Source organism: Homo sapiens, chromosome 15 (assembly GCF_000001405.40).
Source record: "Homo sapiens chromosome 15, GRCh38.p14 Primary Assembly".
NCBI classification, from domain to species: domain Eukaryota; kingdom Metazoa; phylum Chordata; class Mammalia; order Primates; family Hominidae; genus Homo; species Homo sapiens.
This window is the reverse complement of record NC_000015.10, coordinates 81,091,964-81,115,559: the sequence shown is the minus strand read 5'-3', so window position 1 is coordinate 81,115,559 and position 23,596 is coordinate 81,091,964. Positions and strand designations below refer to the sequence as shown.

Here is a 23,596-nt window from a genome sequence, read left to right as displayed (position 1 = left end):
AGTACGAAATAATACTGGCTCAGCACTTTGACATAATTGCAAAATTGAGCTTAGTAATGGATTCTAGCAGACTTGACTTAAAGCCACTTCCTCCAACCTTCCTCTTTACGCAAATGTAGCTAAAAGGGTTTTGACACTGACTACTAGTGACCAATTACCCCCCTCCACTGCTCCCAGTGTGACACAAGACCAACCACTGGAACAGGTTCATCCCAGCATCCAGAGACATCAAAACCTAACTACAGGTTGATTGTTCAGTGATGCTTTTGGAAAAAGATATTGATCAAAAACGGGAAATGTGAAAGTTATCAGAATCAAAATGGAGTCACTAATGCTAAAAAAAGAAAAAATTCCCTGACAAGTAGAGCCAGAGAAGGCCATGAAGAAAGAGTTTTCATGCTTGTATGCCTGATAATAAAAAAGACTGCACAAACCACAACCTTGCACAAAAGTCGTCACAAACTTATACAAAAAATCCTTCTGCAAAAACATCTTCCCAACAACTGCCTGTCCCACCTTGGACTTGGCATCACCCTTGTTATCGATCTTTTTAGCCAAGGATAATTGTTTCAAAACAATTATGCAATCCTCATTTTTTTTATTTTAAAAACCCTTGCGCCTGTAATCCTAGGACTTTGGGAGGCCGAGGTGGGCGGATCACAAGGTCAGGAGATAGAGACCATCCTGACCAACATGGTGAAACCCTGTCTCTACTAAAAATACAAAAAATTAGCTGGGCGTGGTGGTGGGTGCCTGCAGTCCCAGCTACTCGGGAGGCTGAGGCAGGAGAATGACGTGAACCCGGGAGGCGGAGCTTGCAGTGAGCCGAGATCGCGCCACTGCACTCCAGCCTGGGCGACAGAGCGAGACTCCGTCTTAAAACAAACAAACAAACAAAAACCCTCGTCTTCCTCTACCTCCATGAATATGCACTTAGTTTACTATGACATGCATATTCCCATTGCGATGTTCTATCCCCAAACATACATCTTTTCTTTCAGAGAGCCTCTCTCTGTTTGTTTAGATTGACATGTGAAAGAAGAGTCAATCAATGTGGCAAACTTCTTTGTTGTGTTATTTTAAGAAATTGCCATAGCCACCCTAATCAACCCCCACCCTCAACAGTCAGCAGCCAACAACAGCAAGGCAAGATCCTCCACTATCATAAAGATTACAACTCACTGAAAGCCCAAATGGCTCTAAGCATTTTTTAGCAGTAAACTATTTTTAAATTAAGATATGTACATTTTTTAGACATAAAGCCATTGAACACTTAATAGACCACAGTATAGTGTAAGTATAAATGTTTATATGCACTGGGAAAACAAAAATCTATGTGACTCACTTTAATGCAATATATGCTTCAGTGCAGCAGTCTGGAAACAAACCCACGTTATCTCTGAGGTATGCCTGTATGTTGTAGCAGCTCTGTCTATTTTTTCTCCATGCCCAGGGCTCATTGTTTTTGTTTGCTTGTTTGCTAGTATATTTGTTTGGCAACTGTGGTATTATAAGAAACATATTTGGTTTTTCTTCTTTGTTCTTGGCACAGAGCTCCTAAAACCCTTGGAATTTCCTGAATGATGAGAATGTCTTTTGTTATTCATAATAAGCTCCTTTTGATCACACTGAATTTATACGAATCAGGTAACTTAGGGTGGAGCCCTTAGATAGCCTCGTGATGGGACTGGCCACCAGAAGGACCAAGTGATTCGAGAGTGGAGACTTTTAGCTCCACTGACCCAGCTCCAAGAAGAAAGGTGAGGGGCTGGAGATTAAGCTCTGAGAGAACTCTTGAACAATAAATGTTGATGTGCTCCTGGGCTGGTGAACACATCGAGGTGCTGGGAAGGTGGCACCCAGAAAAGTCATGGAAGCTCTGCACCCCTTTCCTCACTCCTTACCCTATGCATCTCTTCCATTTGGCTGTTACTGAGTTGTATCCTTTATAACATCCTTTGTAATAAATCAGTAAACGCAGAGTACTTTCCTGGCTCTATGAGTCATTCTAGCAAATAATTGAACTTGAGGAGGGGGCCATGGGAACTCCTGATTTTACAGCCAGAAGTATGGGTGGCCCAGGACTTGCACTTGGCATCTGAAGTGAAGGCAGTCTTGTAAAACCGAACGCTTTTAGCCTGTGAAATCTGACACTAACTCCAGGTAGTTAATGTCAGAGTGGAATTTAATTGTTGGACACCCAGTTGGTGTCTGGAGAATCAATAATTGGTTGTTAGTGTTGGAAAACACTCCAGTGACCTTGGCTAGACTAGTTTGCTGAAGTCTATTTCCTGGACACTGTGCAGTCTCTGGTGTTACTCATTAGAGGGCACAGACTTGGGCATGAGCAGAGTCCCTTGACTCCCCAAATGAATCTTAACAAGATAAACAAAGTAACATAAAGAATCATCTCACAACTTACAACGCAGATGAATTTAAAAGCCAGGTGATAATAAAATAATAAATATGCAAGGGATTTTTTAAATTCTCCTTTTATTACTTTTTACTCTTTTTATCATAAAATATTCATTTTACATGTGATTATATCAAGTTTTAAATTTACATTCCTCAAAAACTCTCAAAGCCAAGATTAAAACAGAAATGCACTCATACATTATTGGATGCTGTGCAATTTACTCAGTATTACTTAGCAATAAATATCCCCTTAAAATCAGGCCACCACTCACCTCGCTTTAAAAGTATTATTTTGACATAAACTAGCTATATACTAGAAAACTTAATTTGCTATTGTTTTCTTTTTTATGATTTATGTATTTATTTTAGGGTCTCAGGTACATTAAATTGGATTATGACACACTCTCAGCAGTGGTCCTCTAGTTATTTAGCCGGTTATTTTTAAATAATGTAATAAGCACTTGTAAACCTATAACCCCAAAATAAAAGCTAAGATCTTGATAATAATCTACATCTAAATATAAGAGTCTTTCATTCCCCATCCCTCCCTACCTCCAGCCAAGGTAACCATCTCCTAAATCCTGTGTTCATTATCCACTTGCTTTTCTTTTTATATAGTTTTATTATACCTATATGTAATCTCAAAATTATGTTTTAATTTTAAGTTCATAAAGATATAACATGCTCTATGTATTGTTTTCATTATTTGATGAAGCTCTTGGGAAAATTTAATTGGAGCCTTTCATTACTTGTAAAACATCTGGCAGGAAAGAAAAGTGAAAGAAAAACTTGGGAATAATCATTTTTAGAAAAGAGAAGTGGGACAAAATTCAGATATTAGGAAAGATAAATACAGGCTATTGTCTTACTTTCCATAGTTCGGAAAGTTTAAAAGTTCTTGTTGGATGACAAATGTAAGTCATCACAGTGTAGTAAAGAAAAAAAAAAAACAGATTGAAGCTCCTTTCACTCGGCTTGCGCAAGTATTTTTGTCTCTGAGCCTCAGCATCTTCATCATTAAAAACAGATTAAAGATATTACTGGTAACTCTCGGGAAAGTATTTCCAAAATAATCTGCAATATGTTAATAGGTGTGAAAGGGGAAAGGGTTCTATGGTCAAATAAATTTGAGAAATGCTGAGTTAAATAGGTTTCTTGATTGCAGATCTTCTCAGATCCTTGAATTAATGGCCTGCACTATAAATCTACAAAATGGCAATAATCCATACAACACTTCCTAAGCTAATTTCAACATCAAATCCTTTTCTTTAGAATCACCTTTTAAAACTGCTATTTAAGGAACAATGACTCAGAGACTTTTTGAAACTTAAATGACATAATAATAGAAATGATGAATAGGATTTGGACATGCAGATGCAAGAACAGAGGTAAGCACTTTCCAGGCAGAGGAAGGAGGATGAGGCCAAGCACAGAAGCAAGAAAGCAAGGGCCAGGAGGGACACAGGGTGATGAGAGGCAGAGGGGAGATGATGGGAAAGTACCTTCAGCATCGAGGCAAGAGTTGGTGGTTTTCTTCTGCAAGTAGTGGAGAGCCCCTGAAACTTTCAGAAGAGGAAATTGACAAGGGACAGAGAGTAGAGCTTTCGGAAGGTTGCTGGGGCTACAGGCCATTGCCTGGATTTAAAGCAGACAGGCCAGGGTAGGGGGTCAGGAAGCCTAGTTAAAGATAGCCCCAGGAGAGGTGATGCCGTGTGCTGACTTAAGCAGTGGCAGCGGGGATAAGGAGGTGGAACTAAATAAGAAAAGAATCAAAAGTGATATTGTCAGGTCTTGGAAAAATGACACTGCAATGGGCAAATCCTTTCAATTGTTCATTCAACCAAAATTCACTGTGCGTCAAGCACTGTGCTCAGCCTTCTGGATGCAGTGGGAAATAAGATACTCATGGTCCCCGCCTTTGTGGAGAGTCAGAAGGAGAAGACTGTTCTGAACAAGTAGTTACATGTGTAAGGTGTGTTGCCGAAGGGTCAGTACAGGGAGGATTTCTCTGAAAGGAATTCAGCAATGTTTTCCCACTAAATAACAGTCCTTTGAAAAAGCAGACAGGATATTGAAAATAATCCAGTTTAACAGAACTACATAATCATTTTTTAATAGCTCATCTGATCAAAGGCACGTATTCCTATTCTCTGCAAAGAACATAGAGTGATGTCTCTACATAGAAAGGGTCTCCTAGTCTTTTTTGTCTCCATCTATTTTTGCCTTCAGCTTCTAGCAGACCCCTGGGGGAAAGAATATCACACCAACAATGCACCTTTGCTTCTCCGCAGCCCAGCATGGCCACCAGAGCCCAGCATTCGTCCCCAGGAACAGGACTATGAGCCTAAGGTCTTGCATCCCCTTTTTAGTGCCCTTGATCATCTGGTGGTCAGTCTCCAGTCCCCTTCCACCGAAGCTGACCACTTGGGTAATATGCCTGCTTATACTATGAAATCCTGAGAGCGGAAGAGATTTCTTACTATTTACTTTCTCCACTGGCTTCTAAAAAGGGAAACCCTTTTGTAGTTAACACTCTGGTGGGTATGGGAATGCCGGCATGGACCCAGAGTAGTGTTTAGTCTCAGTCTGCCTAAGAGAGTGAAAAGAAATGAAGTTTCCCATCTGTGGTGATGCATTCTCCAGAAGCACCCAGAGGCAAGGGTGACCAGGAGAACAGCACCCTCCTGGAAATTCACAGATATCCTGGGGAGGGTTTCAGACTTCTAAGTGGCATAAAGGGGATGGAGGGAGTGGGGGGCTTCAAGTCATTTATTCTAGATATCAAAAAACATAGAGACCTTTAACTGATATTTTCGTTATAGGAGGATGCTGTCCTTCAAAATCACCAGAAAATTTTTTAAATTTTTGCCCCCTTTTAAGCAGGGGAGACTTCTTTTAAACAAAAGCAAGACAGAATTCAATTACATAAAACAAATATGAGAGGTCTTCAAAAAGTTCATGGAAGACACATCTTATGAAAAAACTATACATGGATTTAAAAAAATTTTGCACCAAAACAAACTCACACTAACCTGTACTGAATGTCTGAACAGGATCTATTTTGAGGCACTAAGAAGGATAAGACATCAGTTTGCAAAGATCTCGTATCAGAGCTACATGGATTCTGCTAAAATTGGACCAAGAACAAACATCAAATTTATGCAGAAATTTGGGTGGAAAAATGGTGAAATCACTGATGCTTTATGAAAGTTTATGGTAATAATGCCCCAAAGAAATCAGCAGTTTAAAAATGAATAATTAATTTTAATAAGGGATGAGGCAATGTTGAAGATGAAGCCTGCAGTGGTAGACCATCCACATCAATTTGGAAGGAAAAATATTATCTTCTTTATGCCCTGATTAAAGAGAATTGACATTAACAGTAGAAACAATAACCAACATCATAGACATCTCAATTGGTAACTTACGCAATTCTTTTTTGAGATAAGGTCTTACCCTGTCATCTAGGTTGGGGTGCCATGGTGCAATCATAGGTCATCACAGCCTCAAACTCCTGGACTCCAGTGATCCTCCTGCCTCAGCCTCCTGAATAGCTGGGACTACAGGCATACACCACCACACCCAGCTAATTTTTAAATTTTTTGTAGAGACAGGGTCTTACTATGTTGCCCAGGCTGGAGCACATACAATTCTAACCGAAAAAAGCAAAGTTGAACAAACTTTCTACTTGATGGGTGCCAAAACCATTGTGCCCAGCTCAGCTGCAGACAAGAGCACAGCTTTCAATGGAACTTTTAAACAAGGGGGATTAAGATCCTGAAGCATTTCTTTGAAGAACTGCAACAGGAGATGAAATATGGCTTTGCCAGTATGATCCTGAAGACAAAGCACAATCAAAGCAATGGCTACCAAGAGGTGGAAGTGGCCCAGTCAAAGCAATAGTGGACCAGTCAAGAGCAAAAGTCATGGCAAGAGTTTTTTGGGATGCTCAAGGCATTTTTCTTGTTGACTTTCTGGAGGACCAAAGAATGATAACATCTGTTCATTATAAGAGTGTTTTGAGAAAGTTAGCCAGAGCATGAGCAGATAAACACCCAGGAGAGCTTCACTGGAGAGCCCTTCTCCACCGTGACAATGCTCCTGCTCACTCCTCTTATCATACATGGGCAATTTTGTGAGAGTTTCAATGGGAAATCATTAGGCATCCACCTTACAGTCCTGATTTGGCTCCTTCTGACCTCTTTTTGTTTCCGAATCTTGAAAAACTTTTAAAGGAAACCCTTTTTTCTTCAGTTAATAATGTAAAAAAGACAGCATTGACATGGTTAAATTCCCAGGAACCTCAATTCTTTACAGCTGGACTAAATGGCTGGTAACATTGCTTACAAAAGTGTCTTGAATATGATGGAGGTTATGTTGAGAAATAAAGCTTATATTTTTTATTTTTACCTTTTAATTACATTTTCCCAAGAACTTTTGAAGTTGCCTCACAGATTTAAAAAGGGTGGTCTTATGATAGACTCAAAGGGTGAGTTGGGGCCAAAACTTCCACCTTGCCCCACCAGAGGGCCCTAAGAATCTGTAGAGCATAGATTGAAAACCACCGATCTAGTTTGGCCCTTCTAATTTTACAGCTGAGAAAATAAAAGCCCAGAGTGGGTCCAAACCCTTGAGGACCACAAGCCCCTCAGGAGGAAGAGCAGGGGCTAGAATTAATGTCACTTGACTTTTTGTCCAGGGCCTTTTCTACTTCCTACCCCTTATCTGGCCACAACTGTGGGAACACTCATCTGATTCTCATTGACCCATTCATCTCCTGTTGCTGGTTGGGAAAAAAAAAAAATGCTGGCCCTTATGGCTTCAGAAAAATATAAATAAAAGCATTTCACATATTGAATATAAGATTCAGAATGCAACAAGAATGAATCTGTTTGGGTCCATTTCTATTTTTCTGCAATTTAAAAGTCAGCAATTATAAAAGGTTTGGAAGCAATGCAATTATTCACTTACAGTACAATAGGGTAAAGTTAAGAAAGAGACCATTTCCAGGAACTTAAAGATACTGGATGAATGTGCACAGAAGGGTATCAAGGCAGACTCATTTCCCCAAACCGTCAGCTTCTCCGGTTCCCTTAAGCTGATGGGAGAAGATAGGGTGTGTCTCAGTTTCACAGACGAGGAAACGGAAGTGCAGAGATAGTATGGGAAAACATAAGTTAACATGGGAGTCAGAACTAAAACCCACCATCAAAAAAAAAAAATGTGATAAGAGGGGAGGAAAGGAGAAAGAAAACATTGAAAAATAAAGCCTTCCTCATGTGTTCATAGCATTTGTGGGTCTCAGACCATGTTTATACACATCAGTTTTATTTGGGTACTTCCGTTACAAGAGGTTAGAAAATAATTCAATATTATATGACCAGCTCTGTTTATTTATTTTATTTTATTTTATTTATTTGAGACTGAGTTTCACTCTTGTTGCCCAGGCTGGAGTGCAATGGCATGATCTCGGCTCGCCACAACCTCCGCCTCCTGGGTTCAAGCAATTCTCCTGCCTCAGCCTCCTGAGTAGCTGGGATTACAGGCACACGCCACTACACCTGGCTAATTTTGTATTTTTAGGAGAGATGGGGTTTCTCCACGTTGGCCAGGCTGGTCTCAAAGTCCCGACCTCAGGTGATCCGCCCACCCCGGCCTCCCAAAGTGGTGGGATTACAGGCATGAGCCACTGTGCCCAGCCTCTGTAATTTAAATCACAGGCTTTGGAGTCAGATATTCTCAATCCAAATGGCAGAACCAAGCACTCACCTGCTGTGTAAACCTTGGGTGGAATCACAGTCTATGACTTAGTTGCCTCATCTGTAAAATGGAGAAATAACCTCACTCACGTTATATGATGAGTGTGGATATGTATGTAAGATGACGTGTGTGACACATTGGCACAGTACCTAGGACACAGTGAGTACTCGGTAAATACTACTGCTTATTATTATGAAAAGTCTGACAGCAGACCAAGAATGGGAACCAGTTTTCTGCTCAAATTCCTCCAGGCACCTCATTCAGCAGATGTTTGCAGGTTTTAGATAGTCGCATTGGGCTTGTTTTTTGTTTTGGTTGGTTTGAAACAGGGTCTTGCTGTATTTAGGCTGGAGTGTCATAGTGTGATCACAGCTCACTGTAGCCTTGCACTCCTTGGCTCAAGCAATCCTCCCACCTCAGCCTCCTGAGAAGCTAGTACTATAGGTGCACACCATCACGCCCGGCTAATTTTTAAATATTTTGTAGAAATGGGGTCTTGCTATGTAGCTCAAGCTGGTCTTGAACTCCTGGGCTCAAGTGATCCACCCGCCTCGGCCTCCCAAAGTCCTGGGATTACAGGCTTGAGCCACCACACAGCCACACTGGGCTGTTTCTCATGCTCAAAAGTAATGTCTCATCCAGAAGAAATGTTTAGGACAAGGGCTTCCCTGACCTTTGAAAGAGCGTGTTTAATTTCATAATTGGGCAAGTGTGCCCTCATGTGGCAATTCGTGGGTACAGCTTCTGATTTGTGACTAGAAAAATGATGCAGTGACAGCAAGGTGTTCTCCAGGCTCAGTTCAGAAGACTCCAGTTTACAAGTGGGTCTCTGATTCCAAAGGGAGTTGTAAACCTTTGCTTCTGGAACTAATGATACATCTTCTCTCACTGTAATAAACACCGAGGTTAAAAGCCAGCCGGGCACGGTGGCTCATGCCTGTAATCCCAGCACTTTGGGAGGCCGAGGTAGGCGGATCATGAGGTCAGGAGATCGAGACCATCCTGGTTAACACGGTGAAACCCCGTCAGTCTGATGTCGGAAGCCTATTAAATTATTGTCTACTTGCAATAGTCTTAGGTTTCACTCCTGCAAATAATCCTGTTTCACATTATGTTCTAAAAATATCAAAATCCTTGAGACTCCCCCAAACTATGTCTTTCTTGCCCTTGCTTTTAACTCTATTTGAATTTACTTTCTCAAGACCCTTCTTCTCCGTGTGATTTCTACTCATCTATCAAGACCATCTTAGAAGTCATCTCCCTCAGCAACATCCCCAGCCCAGATTAAGCTGTCTGCTACTCCCTGGTTCTCATGACACTTTGCATTTTCTCTGCAAATCCCTATTATGGGCAATTTTTCTTAGCAATGAGCAACTTGGACTAGTGTAAGCCCCATAAAGACAGGGGTCTTTTTGTTTCATCGACATAGCCTTAGCCCCAGCGACAATGCCTGATAGACAAGGGGATATTTGAAAGCACCTGCCACATCAGTGAATTGTTCAGTTTCTTTTTCACACTCCTGGGACCATCTGTAGTACAGTACAAACACTCATATTATCATAAATTTTATTCACTGGAAATACACAGCTACCCATCCTCCAAAACCTGTGTTTGCACATCACGTGGACTTAATAATCTTCTGCCTGCGTCAGCCTTCAAATGCCTGTCCATCTGGATCTCATAGCAGCCCGGAAGTGTTAATACATTAGTCATGAGCTGCTGCAATAGGCAGGTCTCAGTTTCCCCAGAATTGCAGGAAACCCTCCTCTATTTGTCTCAGATAAGTTGCTATCCCTCCACTTCTGCCAACCAACCTCTCCAGTGGCCACTGACTGCTTGGCTCAGAAGCTGAGGTGGGAGAATTGCTTGAGCCTGGCAGGTCAAGGCTGCAGTGAGCTGTGATTGGGCCACTGCACTCCAGCCTGGGTGACACAGTGAGACCCCGTCTCAGAAAAGAAAGAAGAGAAGGAGTGAGGGAAGAATGGAGGAAGGGAAGAAGGAAGGAAGGAGGGAAGGAGGAAAAGAAGGAAGGAGGGAAGGAGGGAAGAAAAGAAGAAGGAAAGGAAAGAAAGGAAGAAAGGAAGGAAAAGAAAGGAAGGAAAAAAGAAAAAGAAAGAAAGAGAAAGAGGAAGGAGAGAGAGAGAGAAAGAAAGAGGGGGGAGGGTGGGGGAGAAAGGAGGAGGGGGAGTGAGGGAGGAAAAAAGGAAGGGAGGGAGGAAGGAAGGGAGGGAGGGAGGGAGGGAGGGGAGGGGGGAGAAAGGTATGGGGGAGAAAGGAAGGGAGGGAGGGAGGGAAAAGAAAAGAAAGACAAAAAATTGAGGTGACACAGCTACAAGACAGGGAACATCAAGGATCGCCAGAAGCTGCCAGAAGAGGCATGGAACAGATTCTCCCTCAGAGTCACCGGAAGGAACCAACCCTGCCAAAATCTTGGTAACAGGTTTCTGGCCTCTAGAACCATAGGAGAATATATTTCCCTTGTTTTAACCCACCAAGTTTGTGGCAATTTCTTACAGCAGCCCTAGAAAACCAACATGCCATATAAATAGCAAACTAGAGAATATCATATACAGTAGGTGCCATTTATGTAAAATTTTATACCCATGTATAGAAGCCTACAGGGATGCCTGGAAGAATGTTTTCCAGATTGGGATTGGAAATAACCTCTGACTAGTGGCATTTGGGATGATTTTTCCACACTTTCAGATTGGAATAACTTAAGACTTAGATATAAGATATTTGGAAAGAATTCTTTTATATATTTCCTCAGCCTGTGAGATCCAAATGCAATCTTTCTAGAACCTTCCAAATAAGATCAAAAGGATGCCTTGTAACTCCCTTGGATACCATATCCCTTTGGCACAGCCTAAGTCCCACTCATGGGAGAGGATACCTTCCTTGCAGCTCCTTGTGGAATACTTGCTGTCTTTAAAGTAGCTGCCAGAACTTTGGCCCGCTCCTGTTCAGTTCAGACGACCTGGGTAAGGCCTAGGAAGCAGTCCCTACTGCCCCATGCTCACTGTCACAGCTTTCTAGTCTCTTCCCAGCTTCACTGCACTAGAGGGAAAATTGAAGGCGAAAACTGAAGTTGGCTAAAAGCTCCTGTCTGTGGATGCCTCCTGGCAGCATTTGACTGAACCAGTCCCTGTTTTCCATGCTGAATTCTACTGCTACTTTCTCTGCCTTGCAGAAAAAAATTTTGATTTTCATTACTTAATTAGAAGGCTGCCCATTCTTTTTCTTTAGTGGAAAAGCACTTGACAACCAGCTCCATCACTTATTAGCTCTGTCACCTTTGAGCAGTTTTTGTTCTCCTCTCTGTGCCTCTATTTTCCCATCTGGAAAATGGGGATAGTAATTATTTAGGGAAAAACTCTCTGAAATCATGTTTTTCCTCACCTCTCATACCACCACAATAACCATCAACATAGAAGAGGACATCTGTGACCAAACATGAGGGGGTTTTCCCCCATTCACCAAGCAGCGGACACCAGCTAGGTGCCCTCCAATTCATTCCAACACTATTTATCCGGAGATAGTGTCAGAACCCATGGACTGAGGACTCAGTTCCCAAGACTACCCCTCAAGCCAGATACCAGTTGCAAGTTCAGACCTCCAGAGCATGTGACCTTCTGGCTTCAAGTTGGGATTCCCATAATCCCCTCTAGGTTTGAGATTTGCTGGAGCAGCTCACAGAACTCAGGTAAACACAGGTAGTAGCTTATTATACTGAGTACTGCAAGGGATACAGGTGAAGAAATGCATATGGCGAGCTATGGGGGACGGGACGCGGCGCTTCCATGCCCTTCCTGGGCACACCACCCTCCAGGAACCTCCAGGTGGTCAGCTATTCTATTCATAAGCTCCCCAAATTCACAGTCCTCTTGGGTTTTTTTTGTTTTCCTCTTGAGTTTTTATGGAAGGTTCATAAGGTCCCCAATCCTTTCTCCAGGATATAGGGTGGGATCCTCCCTGGGGAGGATCTTGAGACTCCAATCAGAAGGGTGGGGAAAGACTAGAGTCCTGCCTTGGGGCAAGTGAAAGGAGGGCAGGAGATTCTGTTTCCTGAGGCCAAACACATCCAGCATTATAACAAAAGCCTGTAACTTGTGTTATGGGAGTTATGAGCCAGGAATCATAGATGAAAACCAGTCTTTATCACAACACTACAGTAATACTATCTATTTTGTTCACTTACTGCAACAAGTAAATGAGTTAATGAGTTAATACATATAAATTTGACGTGAGCAGTGCCAGGCTCATACTAAGTGCTCAATAAAAGTTGCCCATCATCACCATCATCATCATCATCATCATGTGCTTCCTCGGTCTTCTCTTTCTCCAGCGGCTGCCCTTCAGTGAGGCTAAGATATTTGGTCTTTCAACCCAGGTACATTTTAAAGGCTTGTCTGGCAGACTCTCCAAAATCCTCCTTTATTATCAATCTTTTGGATGTTCTATGTCTATAAAACTTCCTCATTGATTCAACCCCATAGATCAAATTCTTCCCTTCCAAATTAATACCCAACGTAATGATCCAACATCAACTACATTTCTTGTCCTATCATCTGTCCTGGCATGTGAGTCCTGGGGCTTGAGGTATCTGCAAGCTAAGCCGGTGTCTCTTTGGGTTTGCCTGCCACAGATACCAGCCTGCCCTCTGCAGAAGAAATACACATATCTATAAAATATCTGTGGCTTACTTTTTAATTTTTTTGAAACAGGATCTCATTCTGTTGCCCAGGCTGGAGGGCAGTGATGCAATCACAGCTCACTGCAGCCTTCACCTCCTGGACTCAAGCAACCCTTCTACCTCTGCCTCTGAAGTAGCTGAAATGATGTGCACCACCACGTCAACTAATTTTTTATTTTTTTTTTTGTAGAGACAGAAGTCTTGCTATGTTGCCCAGTCTGGTCTTGAACTCCTGGGCTCAAGCAATCTCCCGGCCTTGGCCTCCCAAAGTGCTGGGATTATAGGTGTGAGCCACAGCACTGGGCCCTGTGACCCACTTCTATGACTGGATTTACATAACACTCTGCATAGATCACCTCCCCTTGAATTTTCTGCAAAAGGTCTTGTGCTGGAACTGGCCTAGAAAACGTGAACGTGGCCTGGTCCTGATACGTTCTCAGACCCAGCCCTCACCCAGCAGCTCAGGGACCTAGATCAGAACCACTCTTTTCCTGATCCTCTCCTTGTGTGAGAATATTCTGAGCACAATTGCTATTTGTGCTGAACAAATTTGCACTACTTGGCACCATTCTCCTAACAGTTTGGCTGCCACATGATAGAGCCACTCTTTGGCTCAATTCCAGGGAATGATGAAATTCAATAACAACTAAATGCCAATCTCAGTTCAATATTACAGATGGTACTTGCCGTCTCCAAGTGTACCCTCAGAGCTACACCTTTTGTCCTGGAAGAGGGTGGTGGTGTAGTCTGCAGTGAGGTAGTGAGGTCAGTTGGCCAGGCACATGATTAGATTCCTGGAGAATGTCAGACAACCATCCTGATTCTGAGTTTGGGGGGATGTCATTGCAATCAAACAGCATTGCAAAGCATCCCTGCCAGAGGACAACAGCAAGTAGAGACACTGACAGAGCACCTGGGGGCCAGCTCCACAGGAATTGTCCCTGACACTGTGGGCTGGACTTCAGTCTGACATCACTAGATGCACTGGCTGGCTCTTTGAGTGTTAATGCATTGTTATACTTCCATGCTGGTCGGCAAAGAGCTATTGCCCAGAGCCTCCTGCATGCTCCCTACTATAATAACATTCCCAGCCTCTCCCTCTCAGATCACTCACGAATCACCCCACCACCACCACCATCTTTTTTTTTTTTTTTTTTTTTTTTTTGAGACAGAGTCTTACTCTGTCACCCAGGCTGGAGTGCTGTGGTGTGATCTCAGCTCACTGCAACCTCCACCTCCCGGGTTCAAGTGATTATCCCGCCTCAGCCTCCCAAGTAGCCGGGATTACAGGTGCCTGCCACCACACCCAGCTAATTTTTGTATTTTTAATAGAGTCAGGGTTTCACCATGTTGGCCAGGCTGGTCTCAAACTCCTGACCTCAGGTGATCCAATAGACTCAGCCTCCCAAAGTGCTGGGATGACAGGCCACGGCACCCAGCCACCACCACCACCTTTATTTAACAAAGGGTAAATATTTGGCACAAGAGGGGCTTCTAGGCCTCTGCCTCAACACTACCTCTGCCTATTCCTGATTAGTCAGGGCAGGTTGTTAAATATTTCCATTGCCAACCTTGCCAGGACCCATTCACAGAAGGAAGGCTGGATTGATCAGAAATGAGATGTGGAATGTTTGCCCCAGTAAAGCAGCATTATCAAAAACAAAACCAAGCATACACATCTAGGGATTTTCTAAACTCCTTCCTCAAGCCAGCCAAGTTGGTGGCCAAGTTATTGAACTAGTAACACAGACTTAACCAGCCAGCCCTCTACCTGGAGGAAAATGAGAGGAGCTACTAGCATGCAGGAGGACAAATCCAGTGAGGACCAAAGGATGACACAAAGACATATTCTGGGGCCAGGCATGGTGGCTCACTCCTGTAATCCTAGCACTTTGGGAGGCCAAGGCAGGAGGATTGCCTGAACCCAGGAGTTCTAGAACAGCCTGGCCAACATGGCGAGCCTGTGTCTCTTAAAAAAAAAAAAAAAGAGAGAGAGAGAGGAAAAGGAAATACCTGGCCAACTTAAACCTCTTTTTGTTAAGAATGAGAATTCTTAAGAGATAAAAAGTAGATAATTTTTTTATTTCAAGGATAAAGGAAGATGCCTATTATTATCTAGGCATGTAGAAAATTGTAGGCAATGGAAGAAAAATGGAGCTAGCCTCAGTGTACTCCAGCAGCTACATAAAATTCTGAGGGGGAAAGTTTGCAAAGCAAGATTTCAAACCCCAAGAAGTCATCCATTGTTCATTATTTAAAGCAATAGAAAGACACTCTAAGGTATCTGTAAGGTCTCAATATGCCTCTGCCGTACCTTTCCATAAAAATACTATGCAGTTGATCTGTACGTCAAAATAAAGAACTCTATAATAGAAGACTGTATTACAGTAGGACAGATAATCAGCACTGAAATAATTTAAACTTAGAACTAAGATGAAATAAGTATTATGAATACAGTTTCAAAATAATGCAGATGTTAAATAATTCTTGGAGAAAAAAAATACATCAGTATGGTAACGAGCATTAAACTTTGTCAAAAGTCCCAGACTATACCAAAAACCTGGGATGCAGACAGGCAGAGAAGGTGGAAGAAGTTTTAAGTGGAAATTTTCTCCTCTTATAACACTTATTGAGTGTTTGCAAACTGCTTTAAATGCCGTACATGTATTATCTTATGTACTTTAATACTCATGCATCTATGAGGCAAAGATCATTCCTATTTTATAGGTGATGAAACAAATGGACGGAAGCTAATTACTTGTATAAATATAGGGAAAAAAAACCTTTGGAAATATACGTGAGGAGGAAGATAGTAGGAGAGGAAGATTTACCTACCTTTAGGTCTAATAAAACAGATTTAAAATAAAATAAGCACTTAGAAAATTTAAATACTAGAATTAATATGCTTGATTTAATATATATTTAGCCTCTCTAACCTGCAGTTTCCTCATCTATAAAAAAGGGATGGGACTTCCTTCCTGTTGTAATGTTCTAAGGGTAGTAAAAGGATGCTTCATCTCAACAGACAACCCTGCATGTTGGGGCTATTTGTTGAGCTTTTGGAAATTCCAGAGCATAATTTCTAGGAGCTGAGCTGTTCATCCCAGAATTCTGGACTCAATCCAAGGAAAGGACCAAAATTCCCCTTTGCTTTCAATTGCAGAACTGACCTGCGCTCCTGAGTTCCAGTGGCATGGAGTGTTCTGGGAGGGGCAGCTGGGATTCTGCCCATGGTCGAGGACAGTACTGGAAGTCTGGCAGGAATTCTTCATTGACACATGAATGAGAGCGGGTGCCCTTGGTGCTGACTCTTAGCTGGAAACCCTCTTCTTCCTCCTCGGGCTAAGCACGCCCCCTTTGGGGTAAAGGATTGGGCAGGGCTCCTCTCTGGTGTCTGCTCCTGGAGATAAGTCCTTGATGACTCTCTGCAGCCTCCCATTCGGGAGATAAATTTCCGATTTGGGAGGAAATCACACACCCCGCCCCATGCCCCAACAGGAGTTGCTACATCTCCCATCCCTCTGCAACGGTGGGAAGTGACTACACCCACCCTTCCCCAACCCTGGGGGATTCCAGAATTTGAAAGTTCAGAGCTGGAAAGATAAACATCACTGCATATCCCTCACTCCCTCAATTGTTTCTCTTCAGGAACAGAAAAGGAACAGAGAACCAGACTGTGCGGAAATTCATCCATCTGCGGGCGTTGTTAAGGGAACTGTTGCTGAAATTACATTTGTGGGTTCCTCCCTTTCCTCCTTGTCAACACCCCCACCCACCTCTTAAGAAAAGAAAAGAAAGGAAAAAAAAACCAACTTTGATTCTTAGTCCACGGTGAGCTTCAACTAGCTTGGCCCTGCAAACCTCTTCTTGATTTCCAGAGATGAAACTTAATGTAGTAAAATTAGTGTGAAATTTGGTGCTGGTTTTCTCACTTACAGCCTGTGTCACTTAGAATGAATTAACTGCCCTGTAACCGGGTTACCTGATCCATTACAGGAAATAATCCTATTTCCTCTGCTACTTCACAGGGTTGTTGAACAAAAGGACATATTGAACCCAAGATCTTTTTTTTTTTTTTTTTTTAAGAAATGGGGTCTGGCTCTGTTGCCCAGGCTGGTCTCGAACTCCTAGGCTCAAGCAATCCTCCTCCCTCAGCCTCTCGGTAGCTGGGACTACAGGCTTGAACCCAAATTCCATTTATAAATTGCAAAATAGATATCATGTGAAAGAATCTTATCCTCAGTTCCCACTGTCTCCTTCATGTATCCTACCTGCCAACCAACTCAGTTAGTGTTTTTGCCAAATGTGGAGGACGATTTACTTTTTTTCCAGAACAAGTCTTTGTTCAAACTGTTTTCTCAGTCAGAGATGTTCCTCCTCTATCTCTGCCTTCAAAATCCTTTCCATCCTTCCCAGTCCAGTTGAAATTCCCTTCCATCCCAGAAGGCTTCCACATTCTGATGTCTCTTTGCAGAATCAATTGCTCTCCTTCTGAACCCCTCTAGCTTTTTCTTTGTTCCTTGATGTCGGCACTGACCCTATTCCGCCTTACATTCGCGTTCTTTCTGTGCCAGCTTATCCCTGCAATAGACTAACCATGAATCATTCACAGGCAGCGCCTTTCATCACTGCATTCCCAGTGCCTGGCATTTAGCCTGGGCTGGGGACATAGCAGTGGTGATGGTAAGAAAGGGACAGGAAGAGGCCATCTGTCTCATGTATATGTGCTTGTATGCATGGATTTTTTTTGGAGAAAATTTACACCTTACTATTTCCCAAAGGAGTCTAAGGAAACATTAAAAACAGAACACAACTCAAGGACCAATGAGCTAGAGTAAAAAGAGAACAATACGTTTCAAGGCACCTGGGATGTTGTTTACTACAGTTAAACCCTGGATTTATCACTGAGTTTCCTGGATAAAAGGGAAACACACTGGCTCATATACTTCTCATTGTACAATAACTTTGGAATCCGATTGGAAAAAGAAAATTTTCCTGGCACTGTGTTTAAGGAGAAATTTATCAAGTGGATCTTTATATAACAGACATGAGGTCACACAATGAGCAGCATCTCCAACAGCAGTGTTGGAAAAGGACACAAAGGTCTTCAGATGGGCAATTCTTACATTCCACCGTATTTCAGAGAGAAGGGGTTTCTGCAAGGAAATGAGACGTGGCCCATAGCCAGGGCTTTCTCTACATTTGTAAGAGATGCCTTGAGAACCTAAAAGAAAGAAAAGTTGGTGTAAGTCTGCTTAATATCCGATCTCAAAGCCCACCTCCAGGCCGGGTGTAATGGCTCACTTCTATAATCCCAGCACTTTGGGAGGCCAAGGCAGGAGGATTTCTTGGGCCCAGGAATTCGAGACCAGCCTGGGCAACATAGCAAGACCCCATCTCTAGAAAAGAAAAGGAAATTAGCCACGCATGGTGGCACGTGCCTTCGGTCCCAATACTCAGGAGGCTGAGGCAGGAGGACTGCTTGAGGTTAGGAGTTTGAGATCATCCTGGGCAACATAGGGAAACCTCATCTCAAAAAAAAAAATTAAAAAATAAAAGCCATGTCTAGATTTCCTTTACGGATCCTGGTGGCTAGCTTGCAACACCTCAAGGCAGGAAGAGGCAGGGAGCAAGCAGAAAGCTGGGACAAGTGTGGGCTGAGGCAGGCAGAGCTCTGTGTCCACAATAGCCAGTGTCTGTCCCTCCACAGGGATGACATCAGTGGGCCCCCTGTTCATCAGGACGGATGCCCAAGCCTGGTTAGCCTCAAAGGAGAGGCTAATAGGTGTCTTGGAAGGCCGTGAAAGAGTCCTAGGGAATGATAGTTCATAATGGTAACACCAGACCCCCAGGAAAATTGAATTCTAAGACTATCAAGATGACAGAAAAGAACCAGCCTCAGGTGGGGCTGAATCAGAACGTGGGCACCTTGGGGTATCCATCTGTGAGTTTCAGAAGCAGGAAGGAGAGGTGGGAGCTGACCATCTCAACTGACCTCCTTACTTTATGATGGGAAGAACCTAGACTGACAGAGAGAAACTTACGCCCAAGGGCTCGCATCTGTGGCTACACAGATATAATTCCTGTGGTCATCAGTATTTTGTTTTGTTTTGTTTCGTTTTTCAGAGTCTCACTCTGTTGCCCAGGCTGGAAGGCTGGAGTTCAGTGGTGTGATTTCGGCTCACTGCAACCTCTGCCTCCCGAGTTCAAGCAATTCTCCTGCCTCCACCTCCTGAGTAGCTGGGATTACAGGCATGCACCACCATGCCCAGATAAATTTTCATATTTTTAGTAGAGACGGGGTTTCACCATGTTGGCCATGCTGGCCTCAAACGCCTGACTTCAAGTGATCCACCTGCCTCTCAAAGTGCTGGAATTACAGGTGTGAGCCACGCGCACAGCCTAATCATCAGTTCTAAGACAGCTGCTTGTCTCTGCATAAAAGAGGGAGCACTTGTCTTCTGGGTCTCCACACACCTGAGGAACAGCAGCGCCTCACCAAGAGTTGATGCTGAGATAGCCCCAGGGTTTTCAGCTTGAGACTTTTATGTCTAGAAAGAACTCTCTCTCTGTTTTCAGTCTTCCGTTTTTGTGTCTGCTGTTATGAAGACCTCCTGAAATAGCTGGCTCAGTCTCTCTCAGTCCTGTGACTCCGGAAGCCTGGTCCTGTCTCTCTGAAGTTATTTCTGGTTGGGAAGTTGGTCTCTCAGTATATCTGACTCTAGTGAGACCTGAGGGTCAAGACCCCACAGTCACTTTAGGCCACCACAGACCTCATGAGGTTGGCAAAAACAGACTTCTGTTGTCCTTATCAGTCAGTGCCAGGGGAAGGGAGAGGTCAGAGAGAGACAGCGAGACAGAGAGAGAGCATCACAAGGTCAGAGGAGGGGGCGGCCAGGATGCCCAGAAGGAAGAGTAATTCTGTATTCCCTTCCCCGCTTAGAAGTCGTAGCTTCATTCTGGGTAGCCTCGTGTGGCCATTTTGCAGCCCCGCCAGGGCAGTTCTGTGAAGCACTTTCTCTGAATTTTGCTCAACACATCCAATCAATAAGATTGAAGACACACTGCAAATGGAGCCCACCGGAAGTGAGGGCACCAGAACCACTGTGCAGGGAGTGTCACTTAAAGATGCAGCTCAGTCCTGCCTCACCAGGAGTGCAAAACCTCAACCCATTGTTCTTATCATTACCATTATGATTATTACTACTATTAACAACAACAATGATAAGAATGGTGTTATGAGTGTGAAGAGCTTGGCAGTCAAGTACAAAACTGAGGCATAGGCCGGGCACAGTGGCTCATGTCTTAGTCCCTGCACTTTGGGAGGCCAAGGCAGGAGAATCGCTTGAGCCCAGGAGTTTGAGACCAGCTTTGGCCACATAGTGGGACCCTGTCTCTACAAAAAAATAAAATAACCAGGTGTAGTAGAGCATGCCTGTCATCCCAGCTACTCAGGAGTCTGAGGTAGGAGGATCGCTTGAGCCCTGGTGGTTGAGGCTGCAGTAAGCTGTGATTACGCCACTGCACTTCAGCCTGGGTGACAGAGCGAGAACCTGTCTCAAAAAAAAACCTGTCTCGTGTGTGTGTGTGTGTGTGTGTGTGTGTGTGTGAAAAACAAAACTGAGGCTTGTATTTCCCCAAAAGAAATTAGGTGTGTTTTAATCTCTCCATATGCCAGGATTGGCATGAAGTCCAAAATCAACTATTCTTCCCTATGACCAAACATAGAGAAATCTAGGCAACTGATAGGTGTCCAAAAACAATGTTTCTTTGTGTGGGGGCATCTTTCTGTTGTTTTTTTCTTGTTTCCCCCAAAGCCACTACTGCATACTAGCCATTCCCCAACTGTCTAACAGTGAGGTTCTGGATGAAACCCTCTTGCTTGCCCAAATACTCATCCAGCAGGGTAAGTCCTCTGCAGTGGTGAGATGCTTCCATCAGTTGTGCCTTTCCTCCCAACCTGGCCACCTGGCACCTTGCTCTAGGCCTCAAGGGACCGGTATATTATGCCAAGTCCCCCACTGACACCCACACATATATCCCCTGGGAGGTTCTGACCCTTGAAGGCATGTGATCTTGTGCCCTGGTCTCCTTCCCAATCAATCTGAAGCTGCTTCCTTACCTGGGATCCAAGTCCCATCATCTAGGGTTGAGACATTTCCCTCTTCTCACTGCATTAACCTGCAACCCCTAGCCCTTGGCTAATCCATCCTGCAGGGAAGATCTATCCCCTCACACAGTAGAAGAAGTTTGCCCTTCAGAGTCTTTAATTTTCAAAAGCAAAGCCTTCCCTGGAGTCTTCTTGGTTGAATTCTCCAAGGAGCCAACTCTGAGAAAAGGAATGAGTGTAAGTAGGTGAATGGGAAGCGATCCCAGGACCCTAGTAGGGGCGGAGGGAAGTGAGACGGGGAATGGAAGGAGCCTACAAAGGGCACCTCATCACATAAATTTCCACTGTGGGCAACTGGGGCTTCATCTCTCTGGGGAACTCTGGGAGGTAACACAGAACACAAACCTCAACTGTATCCCACCTGAGGAGGGAGGGATTTGGGGTATTTATCCACCAGCTCCCACCAGTCATTGGTTGAAGATTGCTGGCGAAGAGTACGAATTCCTAAGCACTTCCAACCATGTGGGGACAGAGTGGGCTCAGGTGGCTAGGAAAGTCCCCAGTCCCCAAGCAAAAAGGATAAAAGAAAGACACAGGTGCTAGAAGTTGGAAGTCAGGTCAAAGTGCCAGGAAAAGGTAAGAGCTAAGGGGACGGGGTGGGCCAAGGGGAGTATCACTCCCACTGAGGAGAGGAAGTCCAGTCTTCATGAACACTAAGGCATGACCATCAAAGGACCTTGCAGGGGAGAGAAAAATAGTTTTCTTATTCTGCTTAAAAATCCAGGGCAGCAAATTTACTAATTAAATAACTAATGTTTATTGTTGTTGTTTGTTGTTGTTGTTGTTGTTTGAGATGGAGTCTCACTCTGTTGCCCAGGCCGGAGTGCAATGGTGCTATCTTGGCTCACTGCAATCTCTGCCACCCAGGTTCAAGCAATTCTCCTGCCTCAGCCTCCTGAGTAGCTGGGATTACAGGCGCCCGCCACCACACCCAGCTAATTTTTGTATTTTTAGTAGAGACGGGGTTTCACCATGTTGGCCAGGCTGGTCTTGAACTCCTAACCTCAGGGGATCTGCCCACCTCGGCCTCCCAAAGTGCTGGGATTACAGGCGTAAATAACTAATGTTTAAAATTCCTAATAACTCATCCTATTAAACATTTCTCATCCTAAGCATCTATTATGTATCTACCACTATATTAGGCACTTCACATTTGATATTGCTTTTAATCTCCACAACAGCCCTGCAGGACAGATCTATCCCCTCGTACAGCAGAAGAAATGGCACAGAGAGCTTGGACAGCACAGGCTCAAGATAGGGTAGCTCCTAAAAAGCTAACTGCCACTCCATTGTCAACCAGAAGGGAAAGGAACTTTTAGTCTTGCCATCTGCATGCAAACCTAGTGGATGATTAGAGAAATATAGGATAAAGAAACTACCACAGAACAACCTCAGAAATGGATACCTATGATAAATTAAGATCCCCAGAGGCAGAAACAAAGACCACCTAGATTAGACAATCTTTTTTACATATGTTTTCAGCTAAACCTAGGTTGGGCCAACCTGTGTGAACCTTCCAGGCAGTCTCATATATTTGACCTTATTTTAGCTGCGCAGCGTGCTTTGAGGTAGATCTCTCTGTTTTATGACAAAGAAAATGAGGTGCAAACAATTAGGTAAATTGCTCGAGATCATGGTTAATCTGTATCAAAGCTGGGATCAAGCCTAGCTCCAGCTCCATTCGTACTGACACACAGATACAAGCAAGCTACTGAAATGCATTACCAGGAAAGATCATGATTTCATTTTTTGAAGTTATTTTTCAAAAAAGAATGGACCACTGTCCTTGGGGAAGTCATTTGGTACGCTGCCAACACAGCCGCAAAGGGTAAGTAGGAACTAACTAGGTCTTCCGCTCATGTTCCTGTCCAGGCTAAGAAGTTAATTCTCTTCAATTGTTTCTGCCTCCTTCTTTCCTTCTTCCTTCCCTCTTGTCTCATTTGTTTTCTCCTTTTGCCTACTCTCATCTCCTTGTCTATAAGGGTCAGGATCTCTGTAAAGCTCTAACTTGGTTTCTGCTTTTTTCCTCCAGACTCCAAGATGAATCATCTGGTGCTCATGTTGCTATAATTACCGGCACATTTGTACGGTGCAGGGTGGAGGGAGAAGAGTTAGCTCACCGTGAGGCTGGGAAAGGAATGGCCTTGATCTAAGCTGCAGCCTGGTTCTAATTTTAGCAACAACGAAGCATTGGACTTCCTGGAGGTATCAGATTGCCCGTGTTCTCTGCTCCCTGAGCTGGGCTGACACTAGACATATGGAAGAGATTCAGATCACAAGAATCACCAAATCAACTCTCACCTCTGGGTCATCGTGCCCAACCTCTGTCTCAGAAAGTAGGGACAAGGTGTCTCGCAATGTCAGAGCTTAGCGATCTCCTCGTAAAACTCCTTGAGTGATACACAAAGCAGGGGTAAAGAGGAAAACAGAATTCCCCATCATGAAAGGCCAGCAGAGCCAGGTCTAGCACCCAGGTCTTCCGGCGTCCAGTCTCCGGTGTTCCTTCTGACATCACCCTCTAAAGGTTAGGGCTTTAGCCGGAGGATTTATTGTTTCCC

General features: G+C 43.7%; 1 protein-coding gene across 1 annotated transcript in view, besides 1 other annotated feature; it reads right to left on the bottom strand.

The window, feature by feature from the left end:
• Nucleotides 1–16,152, bottom strand: part of CFAP161 (cilia and flagella associated protein 161) — a 49,772-nt gene extending 33,620 nt beyond the window's left edge. Inside the window, exon 1 of the mRNA XM_006720408.3 lies at nt 16,039–16,152. The gene's annotated coding sequence lies outside the window, so the exon portion shown is untranslated. The remainder of the gene's footprint in view (nt 1–16,038) is intronic.
• Nucleotides 3,796–3,955: an enhancer, noted in NCBI's record as "active region_9948". NCBI's record gives its function as "activates an Ori minimal core promoter by ATAC-STARR-seq in GM12878 lymphoblastoid cells {active_cell/tissue: GM12878}" and the evidence as "EXISTENCE:reporter gene assay evidence [ECO:0000049][PMID:35858748]".
• Nucleotides 16,153–23,596: the final 7,444 nt, after the last annotated feature.